A 16,504-nucleotide genomic window follows, 5' to 3' on the forward strand; every position below is an offset into this window, starting at 1 on the left:
GTTCAGGAGTTAGAGAGCATCCTGGCCAACATGGTGAAACCCTGTCTGTACTAAAAATACAAAAAAATTAGCCAGGCATTGCGGCGGGCGGCCAATAATCCTGGCTACTTGGGAGGCTGAGGCAGGAGAATCACTTGAACCTGGGAGGCGGAGGTTGCAGTGAGCCAAGATGATACTACTGCACTCCAGCCTGGGTGACAGAGCAAGACTCTGTCTCAAAATAATAATAATAGGCCGGGCACGGTGGCTCACACCTGTAATCCCAGCACTTTGGGAGGCCGAGGCGGGCAGATCACAAGGTCAGGAGATCGAGACCATACTGGCTAACATGGTGAAACCCTGTCTCTACTAAAAATACAAAAAATTAGCCGGGTGTGCTGGTGGGCGCCTGTAGTCCCAGCTACTTGGGAGGCTGAGGCAGGACAATGGCGTGAACCCGGTAGGCGGAGCTTGCAGTGAGCCAAGATCGTGCCATTGCACTCCAGCCTGGGCGACAGAGCGAAACTCCACCTCAAAAAATAATAATAAAATAAAATAAAATAAAAATAAAAATAATAATAATAGAGATGAGGTTTTGCCATGTTACCCATGCTGGTCTCCAACTCCTTGGCTCAAGCGATCCATCCACCTTGGCCTTCCAAAGTGCTGGAACTACAGGCTTGTGCCACCACCCTGGCCTTAAACAATTATTCATGAAAGGAAGGAAATTCTGACACATGCTGCAACATGGATGAAGCTCAAGGACATTATGCTAAGGGAAGGAAGCCAAAGACCTGCCAGCCGAGGTCCCAGTCCGTCAAGGGCTCCAGTGAGCGAGCAGGATTGAGCAGGTCCCTGGGCTGAGCAGTGGGAACTCTGCTTTGCTGTGAGTGTGGCACGGGTGGCGGCAGACTGTGGAGTGCAGGCTCTGTGGAGCAACTGGACACTCTGTTGAACGAAGTGCAAGGTGGTAGGTTTTTGCTTTTTTTTTTTTTTCTGAGACAGAGTCTCACTCTGTCTCCTAGGCTGGAGTGCAGTGGCATGATCTCGACTCATTGCAACCTCTGCCTCCCGGGTTCAAGCAATTCTCTGCCTCAGCCTCCTGAGTAGCTGGGATTACAGGCGCGAGCCACCACACCCAGATAATTTTTAAAATATTTTTGGAAGAGACGGGGTTTTACCATCTTGGCCAGGCTGGTCTCGAACTCCTGACCTCGTGATCCACCTGCTTCAGCCTCCCAAAGTGCTGGGATTACAGGCATGAGCCACCGCGCCCGGCCACAAGGTGGTAGTCTTTCTCAAGGACGCTGGGGCAACCCCATTGCGTCTTCACCAACACCCTGGTACAGATCCTGCAGCTGCAGTCTACCCCGCATACAACATGTTCAATGATCCCTAGCTAGACAAGGCATTGAAAACTATTCCATAGGCCGGGTGCAGTGGCTCCTACCTGAAATCCCAGCAGTTTTGGAGCAAGGCGGGTAGATCATCTGAGGTCAGGAGTTCGAGACCAGTCTGGCCAACATAGCGAAACACCGTCTCTTCTAAAATACAAAAAATTAGCTGGGTATGGTGGTGCATGCCTGTAATCCCAGCTACTTGGGAGGCTGAGACATGAGAATCACTTGCACCAGGAGGCGGAGGTTGCAATGAGCCGAGATCACACTACTGTACTCCAGCTTGGGTGACAGAGTGAGACTCTGTCTCAAAAAAAAAGAAAAAAAAAATTAGCTGGGCATGGTGGCATGCACCTGCAGGCCCAGCTACTCAGGAGGCTGAGGCAGGAGAATCGCTTGAACCCAGGAGGCTGCAGTGAGCCAAGATCGAACCACTGCACCACAGCCTGAGTGACAGAGTGAGACTCCATCTCAAAACAACAACAACAACAAAAATCAACTATTCCATGGGAGGCAGAGGCAGGAGGATGGCTTCAGGCCAGGAGTTGGAGCCAAGCTAGGCAACATAGCGAGAATTCCTCATCTCTACACACACACACACACACACACACACACACACACACACACACACACACACACACACATTAATTAGCTGGGTGTGGTGGCGCATGCCTCCAGATACTCAGGAGGCTGAGCGGGAAGGATGGTTTGAGCCCTGGAGGTTGAGGCTGCAGTGAGCCATGATCACGCCATGACAGAATGAGGACCAGGTGGAAGAACTGAAAACGTTGGGGATCCACACATCCGCTCCATCCTTTCAGATGGAAAGAAATACCAAGACTCAAAAAAACGAGGGTGCCCAGGTCCTCACTGAGCAGAGACTCACTGCTAAAAAAAAGCCTTACCTATTTGGGTTTTCACTAGTAAGCAGTTGGTTTGTAAGCAGTTGGTGATTTTAGTTTGTCTGGGTTTCAGCCATGAATATTCTATTGTAAACTTAATTATAACAACTGCACTGTAATAATTCAATGTCCTATTATGATGTTGTTATAGACAAAATTTGCCTTTACATTGTCATTTATTTTATTTTATTTTTCTTTTGAGACAGGGTCTCACTCTGTCACCCAGGCTGGAGTGCAGTAGCTCAATCTTGGCTCACTGAAACCACTGCTTCCCAGGCTCAAGCGATTCTCCCACCTCACCTTCTCGAGTAGTTGGGACCATAGGTGTGAACCACCATATCAGGCCAATTTTTGTATTTTTAGTAGATACGGGGTTTCAACATGTTGCCCAGGCTGGTCTTGAATTCCTGTGCTCAAGCGATCCACTTGCCTCGCCTCCCAAAGTGCTGAGATTACAAGTATGAGCCATTGACATTTAATCTTCCTTCCTTCCTTCTTTCCTTCCTTCCTTCCTTCCTTCCTTTTCTTTTTTTGAGATGGAGTCTCGCTCTGTCGCCCAGGCTGGAGTGCAGTGGCACGATCTCGGCTCACTGCAAGCTCCACCTCCTGGGTTCAAGCATTTCTCCTGCCTCAGCCTCCGGAGTAGCTGGGACTATAGGCGCGGGCCACCATGCCCAGTGATTTTTTATTTTTATTTTTTTTGAGACGGAGTCTCGCTCTGTCACCAGCCTGGAGTGCAGTGGCGCATTCTTGGCTCACTGCAACCTCTACCTCCAGGGTTCAAGCAATTCTCTGTTTCAGCCTTCCGAGTAGCTGGGATTACAGGCACCCACAACCACACCCAGCTAATTTTTGTATTTTTAGTAGGGATGGGGTTTCACCATGTTGGTCAGGCTGGTCTTGAACTCCTGACCTCGTGATCCACCAACCTCGGCCTCCCAAAGTTCTGGGATTACAGGCGTGAGCCACCGCACCTGGCCTACTTTTTTAAACTTAAATTTTAAAAAAAATTAAGTTTATTTTTAATGTGATTTATTTATTTATTTTTTAGATGGAGTCTTTCTCTGTCGCCCAGGCTGGGGTGCAGTGGCGCTATCTTGGCTCACTGCAACCTCTGCCTCCCGGGTTCAAGTGATTCTTCTGCTTAGCCTCCCAAGTAGCTGGGGCTACAGGTGCATGTCACCACGTCCAGCTAATTTTTTTGTATTTTTAGTAGAGACAGTGTTTCACTGTATTGGTCAGGCTGGTCTTGAACTCCTGACCTTGTGATCCGCCTGCCTCAGCCTCCCAAAGTGCTGGGATTACAGGTGTGAGCCATGGCACCCGGCCTATTTATTTATTTATTTTTTAATTTTTTTTTGAGACGGAGTCTCGCTCTGTCACCCAGGCTGGAGTGCAGTGGTGCAGTCTCGGCTCACTGCAAGCTCCACCTCCCGGGTTCATGCCATTCTCCTGCCTCAGCCTCCTGAGTAGCTGGGACTACAGGCGCCCGCCACCACGCCCAGCTAATTTTTTTGTATTTTTAGTAGAGACGGGGTTTCACCGTGTTAGCCAGGATGGTCTCGATCTCCTGACCTCGTGATCTGCCCACCTTGGCCTCCCAAAGTGCTGGGATTACAGGCGTGAGCCACCGCGCCCGGCCTCTTTCAATCATTTCTGATGACACCGGAGAAGGCAGTGTCCTTTCCTTATTGTCTCTTTTTTTTTTTTACCTGGGTATTCTGGAAGTGTCTTTCCTCTGACAGTGTTGTTGGACGTGGGGAAACAAAAGGGTATCAAAGAGAGGGAGAGAAGGATAAAGACCACCCCTCATTCCCGCCCTCCCAGAGGGGCAGCCTGGGGAGTCTATGGAGGAGGTGACTTTGAGCCATGATGTGACCTTAGATGAGGGGCCTCTCTGAGCCTCAGGAAGCTCTTCTGCAAAATGGGGCAAATAAAGAAATGCCCTCTGTGTGCAGTGGCTCAGGCCTGTAATCCCAGCACTTCGGGAGGCCAAGGCAGGAGAATCACTTGAGCGCAGGAGTTCCAGACCAGCCTGGGCAACATAGTGGGACCCCATCTCTACCAAAAAATTTAAAAATTAGCCAGGCATCAGGTGTGGTGGCTCAGGCCTGTAATCCCAGCACTTTGGGAGGTTGAGGCAGGCAGATTGCTTGAGCCCAGGAGTTTGAGACCAGCCTGGGCAACACAGTGAGACCCCTGCTTCTACACACACACCAAATTAGCCAGGTGTGGTGGTGCACATCTGTAGTCCCAGCTACTTGGGAGGCTGAGGTGAGAGAATCATTTGAGCCCTGAAGCTCAAGACTACAGTGAGCTGTGATTGTGCCACTGCCCTCCAGCCTGGGCAACAGACCAAGACTCTGTCTCAAAAAAAGGAAAGGTCCGGGCGTGGTGGCTCATGCTTGTAATCCCAGCACTTTGGGAGGCTGAGGTGGGCAGATCATGAGGTCAGGAGATTGAGACCATCCTAGCTAACACAGTGAAACCCCGTCTCTAGTAAAAATACAAAAAATTAGCCAGGCGTGGTGGCGGGCGCCTGTAGTCCCAGCTACTCAGGAGGCTGAGGCAGGAGAATGGCGTGAACCCGGGAGGCAGAGCTTGCAGTGAACTGAGATTGCACCACTGCACTCCAGCCTGGGCAACAGAGCAAGACTCCATCTCAAAAAAAAAAAAAAAAAAAAAAACGGAAAAGAAGGCCGGACGCAGTGGCTCACGCCTGTAATCCCAGCACTTTGGGAGGCTGAGGCGGGCGGATCACGAGGTCAGGAGTTTGAGACTAGTCTGGCCAACATAGTGAAACACTGTCTCTACTAAAAATACAAAAAATTAGCCAGGTGTAGTGGTGTGCACCTGTAATCCCAGCTACTCGGGAGGCTAAGGCAGGATAATTGTGTGAACCCGGGAGACGGAGGTTGTGGTGAGCCGAGATTGTGCCATTGCACTCCAGCCTGGGTGACAGTGCGAGACTCTGTCTCCAAAGAAAAAAAAAAAAGGAAAAGAAATGCCATCCCAAGGTGATCCCTCACAGGAAGTGACTCAGAAAAGCAGTGAGCTACGAAAGCTATCTGAATGAAGCAAGATCGTCATGTGGGAGACACTGACTACCCACTCCTAGCAAAGGGCTCAGCAGCACACGGCCTCCCTGCGGGGATGCCCTCGGGGAAGATGTGGCCCAGAGGAGTTTTTTGGGCCTTGCTCCTCAGTCCTGGCTCTTAGTAGGACCCTCTGCAGCCAAACTAGCATATCCTGAGCCAGGCTGACCTTAAAAAGTAAGCATTCAGGGCCTAGGGACCTTGGGCAAAGCAGAGAAGCTGGTGTCAGATGAGGTGCCGCAGGTACAGTAGGATAAGGTGTTCTCAGGTCCCCAGTGCAGCCCCAAGATGAGCCTGCAGTATTTTCCTTACATGATCTGGTCCTACTGTGGGCAGCGCTGCTGCCCAGAGCCTGAGAGGATTATGAAAACATGGCAACGGAAGTGAGGCCAGGGGACACAGCATGGGGGCATGAGGAGCAGGGGACAGCGGGTGGGGCTAGAGGAGAGGGAGGTTTAGGGAGGCCTCTGCTGCTGTGACTGTGAGCCCCAGCCAATGATGACGTGGCCACCGCACAATCTGAGTTCTGGGAACCATGTGATGGAATGTGTTCTGGGAATAGACTGCAGCCAGGAAAAAAAAAGCAGAAGGGTGCACCCTCCCTTCCTCAGCCAGGAAAACATTTCTGTAGCCCTTGCGGACCCAGTGCGCAGAAGTGAGAGGGAGGAAAGCCAGGCTCATGTTTCCTTGGTTGTGCTTCAACTTCTAAAATATGTTTTTTCTATGAACATTTTAATGAGGGGTTGGACATAAGACAGAAAAATAACATTCTGAGAGCTCGTTTGGAGGTTCTAGCAGGGGAGCGCAGCTACTCTTATACTCTTGACTGAAGACCGATCGTCCTCTATCGGGGATGGTCATCCTCTTCCATTGAGCGCACAGCTTCTGGAGGGACGCACATGGAGTGGTGCGGGAGGAAGGGGATACCCGCCTAGTCAGCCAGATCAGCCGAATCAACCCTGATGATCAATGGGGTGACACATGTCGCAGCCAGATCACCCTCACATCCCAAAAATAACACTCAGATTGCTTTTTCTTTTTTAAGATGTAGACTTTTCTTGAGACTTTCGTACAAGGCAATGGACAGATAACCTTAACCTCCCAGAGAAAACACACATTGGCCACAGAAAAAGGCGCTTCTCCGTATACCTGCCATAGTTATCAGCAACTTTGAAATGGCTTCTCAGACTCTCAGGGGTTGGCTTGTTGTGTTTGCTTTTGCAAATAACTCAGGCTTAAGTCCTGCTACTTTCAGAGCCTAGGGGACACTTAAGGACTACCATCAGTTTAACACAGTGGCACTTGGAGCACATGCTACTTATGGTGGTGAGGAGGGGTGCTGGTGTGAGGGTCTGAACGCTTGCTTCTCCTCTGGCAGGGTGTGAGCAGCCAGAGGCCACTACCTGGGCAAGGATGCTTGCTCAGTGTCCATGGAGGGACATGTGATCCAGCAGGTGGGCAGGAACCAGGCCCCTGTGGCCGCCCAACTCTCCATAATAGAATCCTTGGTCATCCATGGGCCCGTAAACCATGACCACGTCTCCTGCCCTCAGCGCCAGCCTGCCCTTCCCCTGGCCCCCCATTTGCCCATCCCCAGGATCATAGTCCAGAGCTGCTATCATGATCTTTGGAGTCCACAGTGGGAGTCTCTTGGAGTTCCCCTGGAGCACCAGGGAGGAACCCTGGGGGATGATGAGCCCCTGAAAGTCCTCGAGGTGGGCCACAGAAGGCAGGTGCCCTTGGGCCGGAGAACGCCACCTCCTATCAGTCTGCTCTGTCCCCACCTCCATCTCAGCCACTAGGCGCCCGGGGATATTGCCCACTTGCCTGTTGCACTCGCTGAGGTAGAAATCATGGGTGTCCTGAGAGCCCCACACTCTTAGCAACTGCCTTTTCTGGAAGACCAGCTCCTCCTCTGCAGCCTTGAGGTTGGCAGACATCACCAGGGGGTTGTAATCAGAGAGGGCCACAAAGACCCTGGCTGGAGTGTTGGCCCCCGTCCCCAGCTGTTGGGGGCCACCCCTGGGCATCTTGATGACTTTGGCGGATGGAGCTGGACACAGTGCCGAGCTGGGCTCATGGAGCTGGCACCCTCTCTTCACCCCCAGAGCTTGTCCTTGCCTGCTGTGGGGCTCAGGCTCCCTCCTCTCCTCTCGCCTCTCTGTGCCCCGCAGATCCAAGCACAGTGCCTCCTGCTCCTCCTTCAAAACGTTATGGAAGTCAGATGCATACTGTTGGCTGGCGCCCAGCTGGGGAGGTGTGAACCCTTGGGCATCTTGCTTTTGCCGAAGTACCCTCTCAAGGGCAGCCTTTTCCTGACACGGTTCTTTCCTGGGCCCACACTCGGTGCGTAGATGGATGAATCCTGGAGCAGGGCTTTTGCTGGTGCCCATGTGCTGGTAGCAATTTTCCTTCTCCCCAGGCTGGTCACTGACTGAAGGTGGCCTGTGGTTCTGGGGACTCTTCTGAAAGAGCAGGTCCTTTCTACAGCCCTCCCAGGCCTCTGCAAGCTCCTGGGCTTGGCTGCCAGCCCCTGAACTCGGACATTCTCCTTCTGAGCCCAGGTTGGACACTGGGGATTGCCTCCTTGGGGGTTCTTCAAAGAATGCTTCTAGGAACTTGGCCTGGGGCTCCCCGCAGCTTCCAGGGTTGTGGGGGCTGGCCTTGGCACTCGGAGGAGCCAGTGACAGCTTCTGGGGGCAGACGGGGAAGGTGACTCTGTAGGTGGATGGGTCGCCACAAGTGTAGCTAAAGGGTGGAGTCTCTGGCCATCGGTGACACATGAAGAAGTCCTCGGGGATCTGAGCAGGCACTGAATCCAGGGACTCACCACAGAGTGACATGGTTCTCACTGAGACCTTCTGCCACGTGAGGGGCACCTGTAGCTGGGAGAATTCCAATACGGTGCTCCCAGCAGTGGCATCGGCGACCTCACAAACCTTAAGCCCATCTGCATACACAGCATAACCGGTGACCTGGACTCCATTGGAGGACCCAGCTGAGTCAATGGTCACAGGGAGCCAGCTGACCACCAGGACACCTGGCGAGGCATGGCGCTCCACCAGCACATCCAGCGGTGGGTAGGGAGGTCCTGCCAAGAGTGTGTCGAAGGTGACGGTGGAGGACATAGTTCCCCAATACACCTGCAGCAAGTCCCATGGCAGCCGCACCTCCACCCGCACCCGGTAGTGCGTGCCGGGGCACAGGCCCTGGAAGGTGTAGCAGCTCACGCCCGCTGGGGTCAGGGCATGCTCTCGGTCATCAAGATATACCACATGGGGGTGGCGGTGGCTGCTGTAGACCCAGGTGATGTTGGCTGATGTGGCTGTGACATTCTGCAGGTGTAGCTGCATGGGAGCCATACGGAGCACCCCTTTGGTCCCCAGAAGGGGTCTGGAGAGGCCCTGCTTCCCCATGCTCTGCAGCAAGCCCAGCTGGCAGGCTTCCGTCTTGGTATCCAGGATCTCTGTTGCTACTTCTGTCTTGGAGCCCACCCTGACCATCTGGCACAGCCCTCTGTCCACCATTCCCTGGGCTTTCCCAGATAATAAGCTGTCTTCCTCCAGAGCTTCATCCTGCCCCGCTGGGAGTTGACTGGGGCCAAGATCAGGGGATTTGGCAGGCAGGCAGCCTGGGATGTAGCTGTCCGGAATCTGCTCCACGAAGTTGGAGGGCACCAGCCCCCGCCGGCCATCGTCAAGCTCCCCCTCATAGAAGCCATCCTCATCCATGTCCCCGAAGATATATATGTAGTCCCCAGCTGTGAGGGGCAGCTCACCCTCAGGGTGATCATTGGGCCCCTCAAATGGGTTGTAGTTATACTGAGCCATGAAGATCTTGAGCTTGGGGGCAGCAGGAGCCGCCGAGCCCCCCATTTCCAGGGCCAGGGACACGCTGTCAGGCTCCAGGTCATCCACCTCACTGGCTGTGTCCCTGTCCAGAGTAGGGGAGGACGGCACGGTGGCCCACATCGACCCCTCAGAGGAGGAGTTTGACTGGGAGCTGGTTTTCTTGGACAGAGGTTGGCTGGCAGGGACTGTCTCTGAAACTTGGGGGACACTGGCTGACTCCCCAAGGGCAACTGGGCTCTCCTCGAGGGAGGCTTCCCTTTTCTCCTGTATGTCTCTGTTGGGCTGTGACACTGCGTAGTCTTCAGGCCGTGCGTGGAACTTGGGCCTTCTGCTACCTTTAACTTGGGACTCCGGCATTTGACTGGTCTCCCAGGGCTGTTCAGGAGGGTGACCAGGCCGACACTGGAGCGCCTGTATCTCCTTCCAGGAAGGATGGAGGTCACACAGGGCCTTCTGCGGGTCGCGTTGCAGCTGCTGCTGCCTGTCCTGCCCGCGCGCCGCCTGCTGCAGCAGCTGTTCGGCGATCAAGCCGGAGGCATCGCGCTCTTGACACGCGCGGCCCAGGTGGCCGCGCACTTCGCTATTCTCAGCCTCCACCTTCCGCACCCAGTCGGTCTTGGCCTGCAGCCGCCCATTCTCCTCCGCCAGCCAGGCGTTTTTGAGCAGCGCCGCCTGCAGCTGTGTCTCGGCCTCCTCGCCACGTCGCCGCGCCGGGGCCGCCTGCGTGCCCAGCTCCTGGCACTCGCGCCGCCGCTGGTCCAGCTCGCGCTCCAGCGCCAGCATCTGCCGTCGCACCTCCTCGCAGGTTGCGCTCTGGCCGCCCGCCTCGGGCCAAGCGCCACCGTTGCCCTGCTGAAGCATCAACTGCCTCTGCAGGCGCAGCACTTCCCGCTGGGACTCGCGCTGCAGGCGGTCTAAGTCTCTGACGTTGAGCCACTGGGTGCAGGGGCCGCCCCTTCCAGTATGCAGGTCGCTGCAGGGACCCGAGGCGACACGCGCCTGCAGGAGGTGGCACTCCTGCCGCAGCTCTTCGATCTGCTTGTCCTTGGCCAGCGGCGCGCTCGCCTGCTCCGACAGGTCCCGAGCGCGCTGGCGGGCAAAGACTTGGCACAGCTCCAGGCCGGCGCAACTCTCGCCGGGTATAGGCGCGCTCACGGCCCGGAGGTTGGTCTCCTGCAGCTCGCGGGCGCGGTCAGCTAGGCGCCGCGCGAGCCCGGTCAGCTCCGCGCGCTTTACCTTGAGCCGCTTCACCTTCTCGTCTGCCTGGTAGGGGCAGCCTGCACGCCGCAGCTGCTTGTTCTCCTCTTGCAGGGTATAACAGCGGCGCGCCAGCACCCACAACGCCTTGGCCAGCAGCCAGTTCAGCTTTATCAGCTCGTGGTGGCCCAGGCCCGGGGGTGAGGGAGTCAGGACTTCGCAGGGCTGGCTCTCAGAGCCTTCTCCTCCCCGCGGGTTGCTGAGTTTCCTGTGGGCTGACGGTGGTGGTGGCGGCGGGAGTGGCGATGGTGGCGGCGAGAGCCTCCGGGAGCCAGGGGTGGAGGTGTCTGGTGAGGAGGGCCGCTCCTCGGATTTGGAGGCCTTGGGGAGGCTCCGGGTGCTGTCAAGCGAGCGGGAACACGCAGGTGCGAAGCAATCAAGGGAGCTGGCGTGCGTGGAGAGCAGGCCGTCTGGGGAGCTGGAGCACGCAGAGGACACCAGGCCTAGCGAGCGGGAGCGCACACCGACTTCAGCACTCAGGCTGTCTAGAGATCCGAGTTGGCAGGCGGGTTTGGGGGCGTGGCAAGAGCCGCTGGAGGTCTGGGGCAGCGGTTCTTCCAAGGAATGCACAGCTTGGGGGTCCGGTGATCCCGACAAAGCCGGGTGCCCGCGGAAGTGCGCCAGGATGTACTTGAGGAAGAGCTGGCGCTCCACCTCCAGCGCCGCCTGCAGATAGCGGATGCGCGCCGCCTGCTCGCCGTCAGTCTGCCAGCGAAGCTGCGCCAACACTTCCTGCAGGCGACAGCGGCACTGCGCCGCGGAAACCTCGGACGCCCCCGGGCGGCTACAGTGGCCGCGGTTCACCAGCTCCTCGGCCAGCTGGCGCTGCAGCTCCCGGGCTTGGCGCACCACGCCATCGCGCTCCCGGTGCAGCAGCTGCTGCAGCTGCCGCTGCTCGGCCTCCTTCCAGCGCAGCAGCTGCCGGATCTCGGCCTCGCGTTCCCGCTGCATCTCCTCTTGCAGCTGCCGCAACTCCCGGCTGCGCTGTGCCTCCCACTTGGAGCGCAGACGGTCAGCCAGCTGCCGCCGCTCCCGCTCGGCCTCCTCACGCAGCTGGCGCTCCCGGGCAGCGAAGCGCCGCCGTTCCGCCCGCCAGCCTGCCCGCTCCGCCTCCAGCTCCGCCCGTAGCTTCTCCAGCTCCCGCCTCTGGTTCTCCAGCACTGCCGCCGCCGGGCTGGAGCAGCCCGGCTTCTTGGGCGACGCGCCCAAGGGGCTGGGCGAGTCCTTGGCCATTGCGGCCGCGGCCCGGCTGGTCTCCAGACTTCGCCTGGCAGGCCTCAGCTCGCCAACGGCCGCCGCCGACCGCCCGGCGCGCCCCTTCCGGCGCCCCCTGGGGGTCTCCGCGTGCCCCTTCCGCCTCTTGGCATGTTCCCCCGCCTCCTGCCGCGGATGTCTGGCCCAGGCGCCTCTCCACCTGGCAAGGCCAGGGCTGGACTCCCACACCCCTGCTCAAACTGGCCCATGTCCCTTCCAGGATGCACGGGGGCTTTTCCGGTCCCTACACTTTTCCTGCTTCTAGCACCAAGTCCCTTGTGACCCTCCCCAGGCACCCTCCCAGGCACTGTGCAGTCCCAAGCAGGCCGCGGTGCCCCGAGGGAAGTCTGGGCTGCTGCTCCTGTACTTGGAGAAAGGGGCAGGGTGTGTGTGTTAAGGCCACCCATGGGGTGTGGGCATACCTGGTCGTGGGTTCAGGTGGTGTATTTGGGTCAGGTGGCTGGAAAATGCAGCAGGATAGGCCTCAACTTGGCTAGACCTGGACTCCCCAGGACCCTTCAGCCCCCTAACAGCCCTGATCACCCAACTGGTCATCCACCTTTTGAGGAAAGGATGTGCCTGATACACATTTGTGTTACTGCGCAGAGTCGGCTCAGAGGAGGTGTAAGCGAAAAGACCCTCCCCAGCAAGGTGGCATAGGGACCCAGGGCCAGATAGGCATGGGGGCACTGCCCAAACTGGCCATCTGGCCTGTCTACCTCCCACATCCAGGTACCACCTGGTGACAAACACTGGAGCCCCAGTGTCTGGGCTACTCATTGGCATCTTAGGTAGAGGCCTCAGGATGGGCCAGGAGTGAGGGTGAGGCTTCAGCAGAAATGTTGGAGGCATCCTGAGCTGCAGAAGAAACACACACACACACACACACACAGCTGCAGAAGAAACATACACACACACACATACTGAGCTGAAGGAATACACACATACACTGAGCTGCAGAAGAAACATACATACACACACTGAACTGAAGAAATACACACACACACACACACACACACACACACACACACACACACACACACTGCCTCTCTGACTGGTGGCCACCTGTGTGGCTTGGGAGCTAAGAAGCCCTGCTTCAGTCTGGCTCCTCTTTGCCCTTCCTGTCTGCTCCTGGTGCCAAGTGGCTTTTTGGAGACATGGATGGACACCTGATACCTGGCAGTCTGCATCGAGACATTGATTTTGTTTTTTGAGATGGGGCCTCACTCTGTCGCCAGGCTGGAGTGCAGTGGCGCAATCTTGGCTCATTGCAACCTCTACCTTCCACGTTCAAGAGATTCTCCTGCCTCAGCCTCCCAAGTAGCTGGGATTACAGGCTTGAGCCACCATGCCCAGCTAATTTTTTGTACTTTTTAGTAGAGACAGGGTTTCAGTATGTTGGCCAGGATGGTCTTGAACTTCTGACCTCAAGTGATCCACCCGCCTCGGCCTCTTAAAGTGCTGCGATTACAGGCATGAGCCACTGTGCCCGACAAGACCTTGATATTGAAGTCACATCAGAGGCCCCTTTGCTTCTTGGTCTGTCGTGTCTCCCTGTCCCCAGGAAGCACCTGGGACCTCTCACAACTGCTGTGTTCACTCAGCTTATGGCCCTCCTTTACAACACTCAAGTTTTTCAAATCAGTTTCCCCGGAACCCACAGAACATGCCTTTAGGCAGTGTCAAGTAACAAGAACATCGGGAATTATGGCTCCAGATGTTCTTTTTTTTTTTTTTTTTTTTTGAGATGGAGTCTCGCTCTGTCGCCCAGGCTGGAATGCAGTGGCGCAATCTCTGCTCACTGCAAGCTCCGCCTCCTGAGTTCACGCCATTCTCCTGCCTCAGCCTCTCAAGTAGCTGGGACTACAGGTGCCCGCCACCACGCCTGGCTAATTTTTTTTGTATTTTCAGTAGAGATGGGGTTTCACCATGTTAACCAGGATGGTCTTGATCTCCTGACCCTGTTGATCTGCCCGCCTCGGCCTCACAAAGTGCTGGGATTACAGGCGTGAGCCACCGCGCATGGCCCTTTATTTTATTTTATTTTATTTTATTTTATTTTATTTTATTTTTGAGACAGAGTTTTGCTCTGTCACCAGGCTGGCATGCAGTGGCACGATTTCGGCTCACTGCAACCTCCGACTCCCTCGTTCAAGTGATTCTCCTGCCTCAGCCTCCTGAGTAGCTGGGATTACAGGCATGCGCCACCACGCCCAGCTAATTTTTGTATTTTTAATAGAGACAGGGTTTCATCATGTTGGCCAGGATGATTTCGATCTCCTGACCTTGTGATCCGCCCACTTTGGCCTCCCAAAATGGTGGGATTACAGGCGTGAGCCACCGTGCCCAGCCCAGATGTTCTTTATGAGAGGTGAGGCAGATGTAGTGTGTATGTGAGAGGAAGGGGAGGTGAGATGCAGGGATGGCCTTAGCCTTGAACTGGTGCTGGGCTCCTGGACATGGTAGCCACAGGGAGGACTATCTTGAGAGAATCTTCATCACAGCCCTGTTTTACGGAAGAGAACCTGAGGCTCAGTGAGAGCCACTGGCTTGCCAGGGCACATGGGCAACTGAGGCAGAGCTGGTGGGTGGGGTTTCACAGCCTGGATGCCCTGCTGCAGTCTCCAGTAGGGCCTCAACTGTCAGGTCAGGAGGGCAGGCTGGGCCGGGCATGGTGGCACAGACCTGTAATCCCAGCCCTTTGGGTGACCAGGGTGGGAGGATCACTTGAGCCCAGGAACTCAAGACCTGCCTGAGCATCATAGAGAGACCCTGTCTCTACAAAAAAAATTTTAGCTGGGCGTGCTGGTGCATGCCTGTAGTGCCAGCTACCCAGGAGGCTGAGATGGGAGGGTCACTTAAGCCCGGGAGTTTGAGACTAGCCTGGGCAACAGAGTGAGCGAGACCCAGTCTGCATTTCCAGCTGAGATGAAATGATTGCTTGAGCCTGCAAGGTGAGGTCAAAGTCGCAATGAGCTGTGATGGCACCACTGCACTCCAGCCTGGGCAACAAAGCAAGACTGTCTCAAAAAAAAAAAAAAAAAAAGCCTGGTGCGGTGGCTCACTCCTGTAATCCCAGCACTTTGGGAGGCCAAGGCAGGCGTATCACGAGGTCAGGAGATAGAGTCCATCCTGGCTAACATGGTGAAACCCCGTCTCTACTAAAAATACAAAAAATTAGCCATTAGCCAGGCGTGGTGGCGGGCACCTGTAGTCTCACTTATTTGGGAGGCCGAGGCAGGAGAATGACATGAACTCAGGAGGTGGAGCTTGCAGTGGGCCGAGATCCCGCCACTGCACTCCAGCCTGGGCGACAGAGCAAGACTCCATCTCAAAAATAAAAATTAAAATTAAAATTAAAAAAAGAGAGTAGGCTGTCACCAAGAAAAAGGACACTGGGGTGGATGGGTCTCTGGGAACCCCACGGTTACCATCCAGCAGCTGCCCCAAAGTATGTCAAAAGCATTCGGGAATGTTGGTTGAGTGGATGAGCAAAGCCAGGCTTCCCCAGGGCTGGGTTTCTGCCATCCCTGTTCTCATCATGTTGTGCAGTGATTGTCCAGTGACCTGCCTGTCACCCCCATCAACTCTGATCTTGGGGAGAGCAGAAGCCATGTTTTCCCTTGTCCCTATTGCATCCCTGCATGTGACTTAGCACATCACTGGTGCCCAGGACATATGAGAATGAGTTGCAGGGAGGCAGGAGTCCCTGCATGAGCTCACCATGCTGCTGCCTTCTCCAGGTTCAACTTTCTCACCTATTAAATGAAAGAGATGGTTTCTTTTTTTTTTCTTTGAGATGGAGTCTCACTCTGTCACCCACGCTGGAGTGCAGTGGCATGATCTCGGTTCACTGCAATCTTCACCTCCTGGGTTCACGTGATTCTCCTGCCTCAGCCTCTCAAATAGCTGGGATTACAAACACCTGCCACCATGCCTAGCTGATTTTCATAGTTTTAGTAGAGACGAGGTTTCGCCATGTTGGCCAGGCTGGTCTTGAACTCCTGACCTCAAGTGATCCACAGGCCTCAGCCTCCCAAAGTGCTGGGATTACAGGCATGAGCCACCATGCCCAGCCTGAAAGTGGTGGTTTCAAACTGGGTTCTTTAGGGCTCCAGGGTTCCTTGGAAATATAGAACTGCTGGGCACACACCTATACTCCCAGCTACTTGGGAGGCTGAGGCAGGAGGCTTGCTTGGATCCAGGACTTCTGGATTGTAATGTACTATACTGATGGGGTGTCTGCACTAAATTTGGCATAAATTGGTGACTTCCTGGGAGCAGGAAACCACCAGCTTGTCTAAGGAGAGGTGAACTGGCCCAGGTTAGAAAAGGAGCAGGTTGGCCGGGCTCGGTGGCTCATGTCTGTAATCCCAGCACTTTGGGGGGCCAAGGCGGGCAGGTCACCTGAGGTCAGGAGTTCGGGACCCGCCTGGCTAACATGGTGAAAACCCGTCTCTACTAAAAATGCAAAAATTAGCTAAGCATTGTGGCGCATGCACGCCTAATCCCAGCTACTCGGGAGGCTGAGGCAGGAGAATCGCTTGAACCCGCGAGGCAGAGGTTGCAGTGAGCCGAGATCATGCCATTGCACTCTAGCCTGGGTGACAGTGCAAGACTCCATCTCAAAAAAAAAAAATTTTTTTTTTGTAGGCTGGGCGCTGTGACTCATGCCTGTAATCCCAGCACTTTAGGAGGCCAAGGTGGGTGGATCACTTGAGATCAGGAGTTCAAGACCAGCCTGGCCAACATGGTGAAACCCTGTCTCT

General features: G+C 55.4%; 2 protein-coding genes, 2 non-coding genes and 1 pseudogene across 4 annotated transcripts in view, besides 1 other annotated feature; 3 read left to right on the forward strand and 2 right to left on the reverse strand.

The window, feature by feature from the left end:
- The first annotated feature begins 5,634 nt into the window (after positions 1–5,634).
- On the forward strand, positions 5,635–5,777 carry LOC124905173 (small Cajal body-specific RNA 17). The gene has a single exon (XR_007068177.1).
- Positions 5,778–5,862: 85 nt separating this feature from the next.
- On the forward strand, positions 5,863–5,945 carry LOC124900484 (small Cajal body-specific RNA 18). The gene has a single exon (XR_007068174.1).
- On the reverse strand, positions 6,145–6,382 carry RN7SKP221 (RN7SK pseudogene 221; annotated as a pseudogene).
- On the reverse strand, positions 6,404–12,199 carry RIMBP3C (RIMS binding protein 3C). The gene has a single exon (NM_001128633.2). It carries the CDS (start codon positions 11,712–11,714, stop codon positions 6,795–6,797), a length of 4,920 nt encoding a protein of 1,639 aa, NP_001122105.1. The 5' UTR covers positions 11,715–12,199; the 3' UTR covers positions 6,404–6,794.
- UBE2L3 (ubiquitin conjugating enzyme E2 L3) overlaps positions 10,185–16,504 on the forward strand; it is a 74,588-nt gene continuing 68,268 nt past the window's right edge. Inside the window, exon 1 of the mRNA NM_001256355.1 lies at positions 10,185–10,388. Within this exon, the coding sequence (NP_001243284.1) occupies positions 10,188–10,388 (201 nt within the window). The 5' untranslated portion in view covers positions 10,185–10,187. The remainder of the gene's footprint in view (positions 10,389–16,504) is intronic.
- Positions 14,961–15,114: a silencer, noted in NCBI's record as "fragment chr22:21908512-21908665 (GRCh37/hg19 assembly coordinates)". NCBI's record gives its function as "represses an EF-1alpha promoter that drives an FKBP-Casp9 reporter gene in an ReSE screen in K562 erythroleukemia cells {active_cell/tissue: K562}" and the evidence as "EXISTENCE:reporter gene assay evidence [ECO:0000049][PMID:32094911]".

Source organism: Homo sapiens, chromosome 22, assembly GCF_000001405.40.
Source record: "Homo sapiens chromosome 22, GRCh38.p14 Primary Assembly".
Lineage (NCBI taxonomy): Eukaryota > Metazoa > Chordata > Mammalia > Primates > Hominidae > Homo > Homo sapiens.

Excerpts from the sequence above, each read along its gene's own strand:
- RIMBP3C (NM_001128633.2), bottom strand. The coding sequence starts at position 11,714 with ATGGCCAAGGACTCGCCCAGCCCCTTGGGCGCGTCGCCCAAGAAGCCG.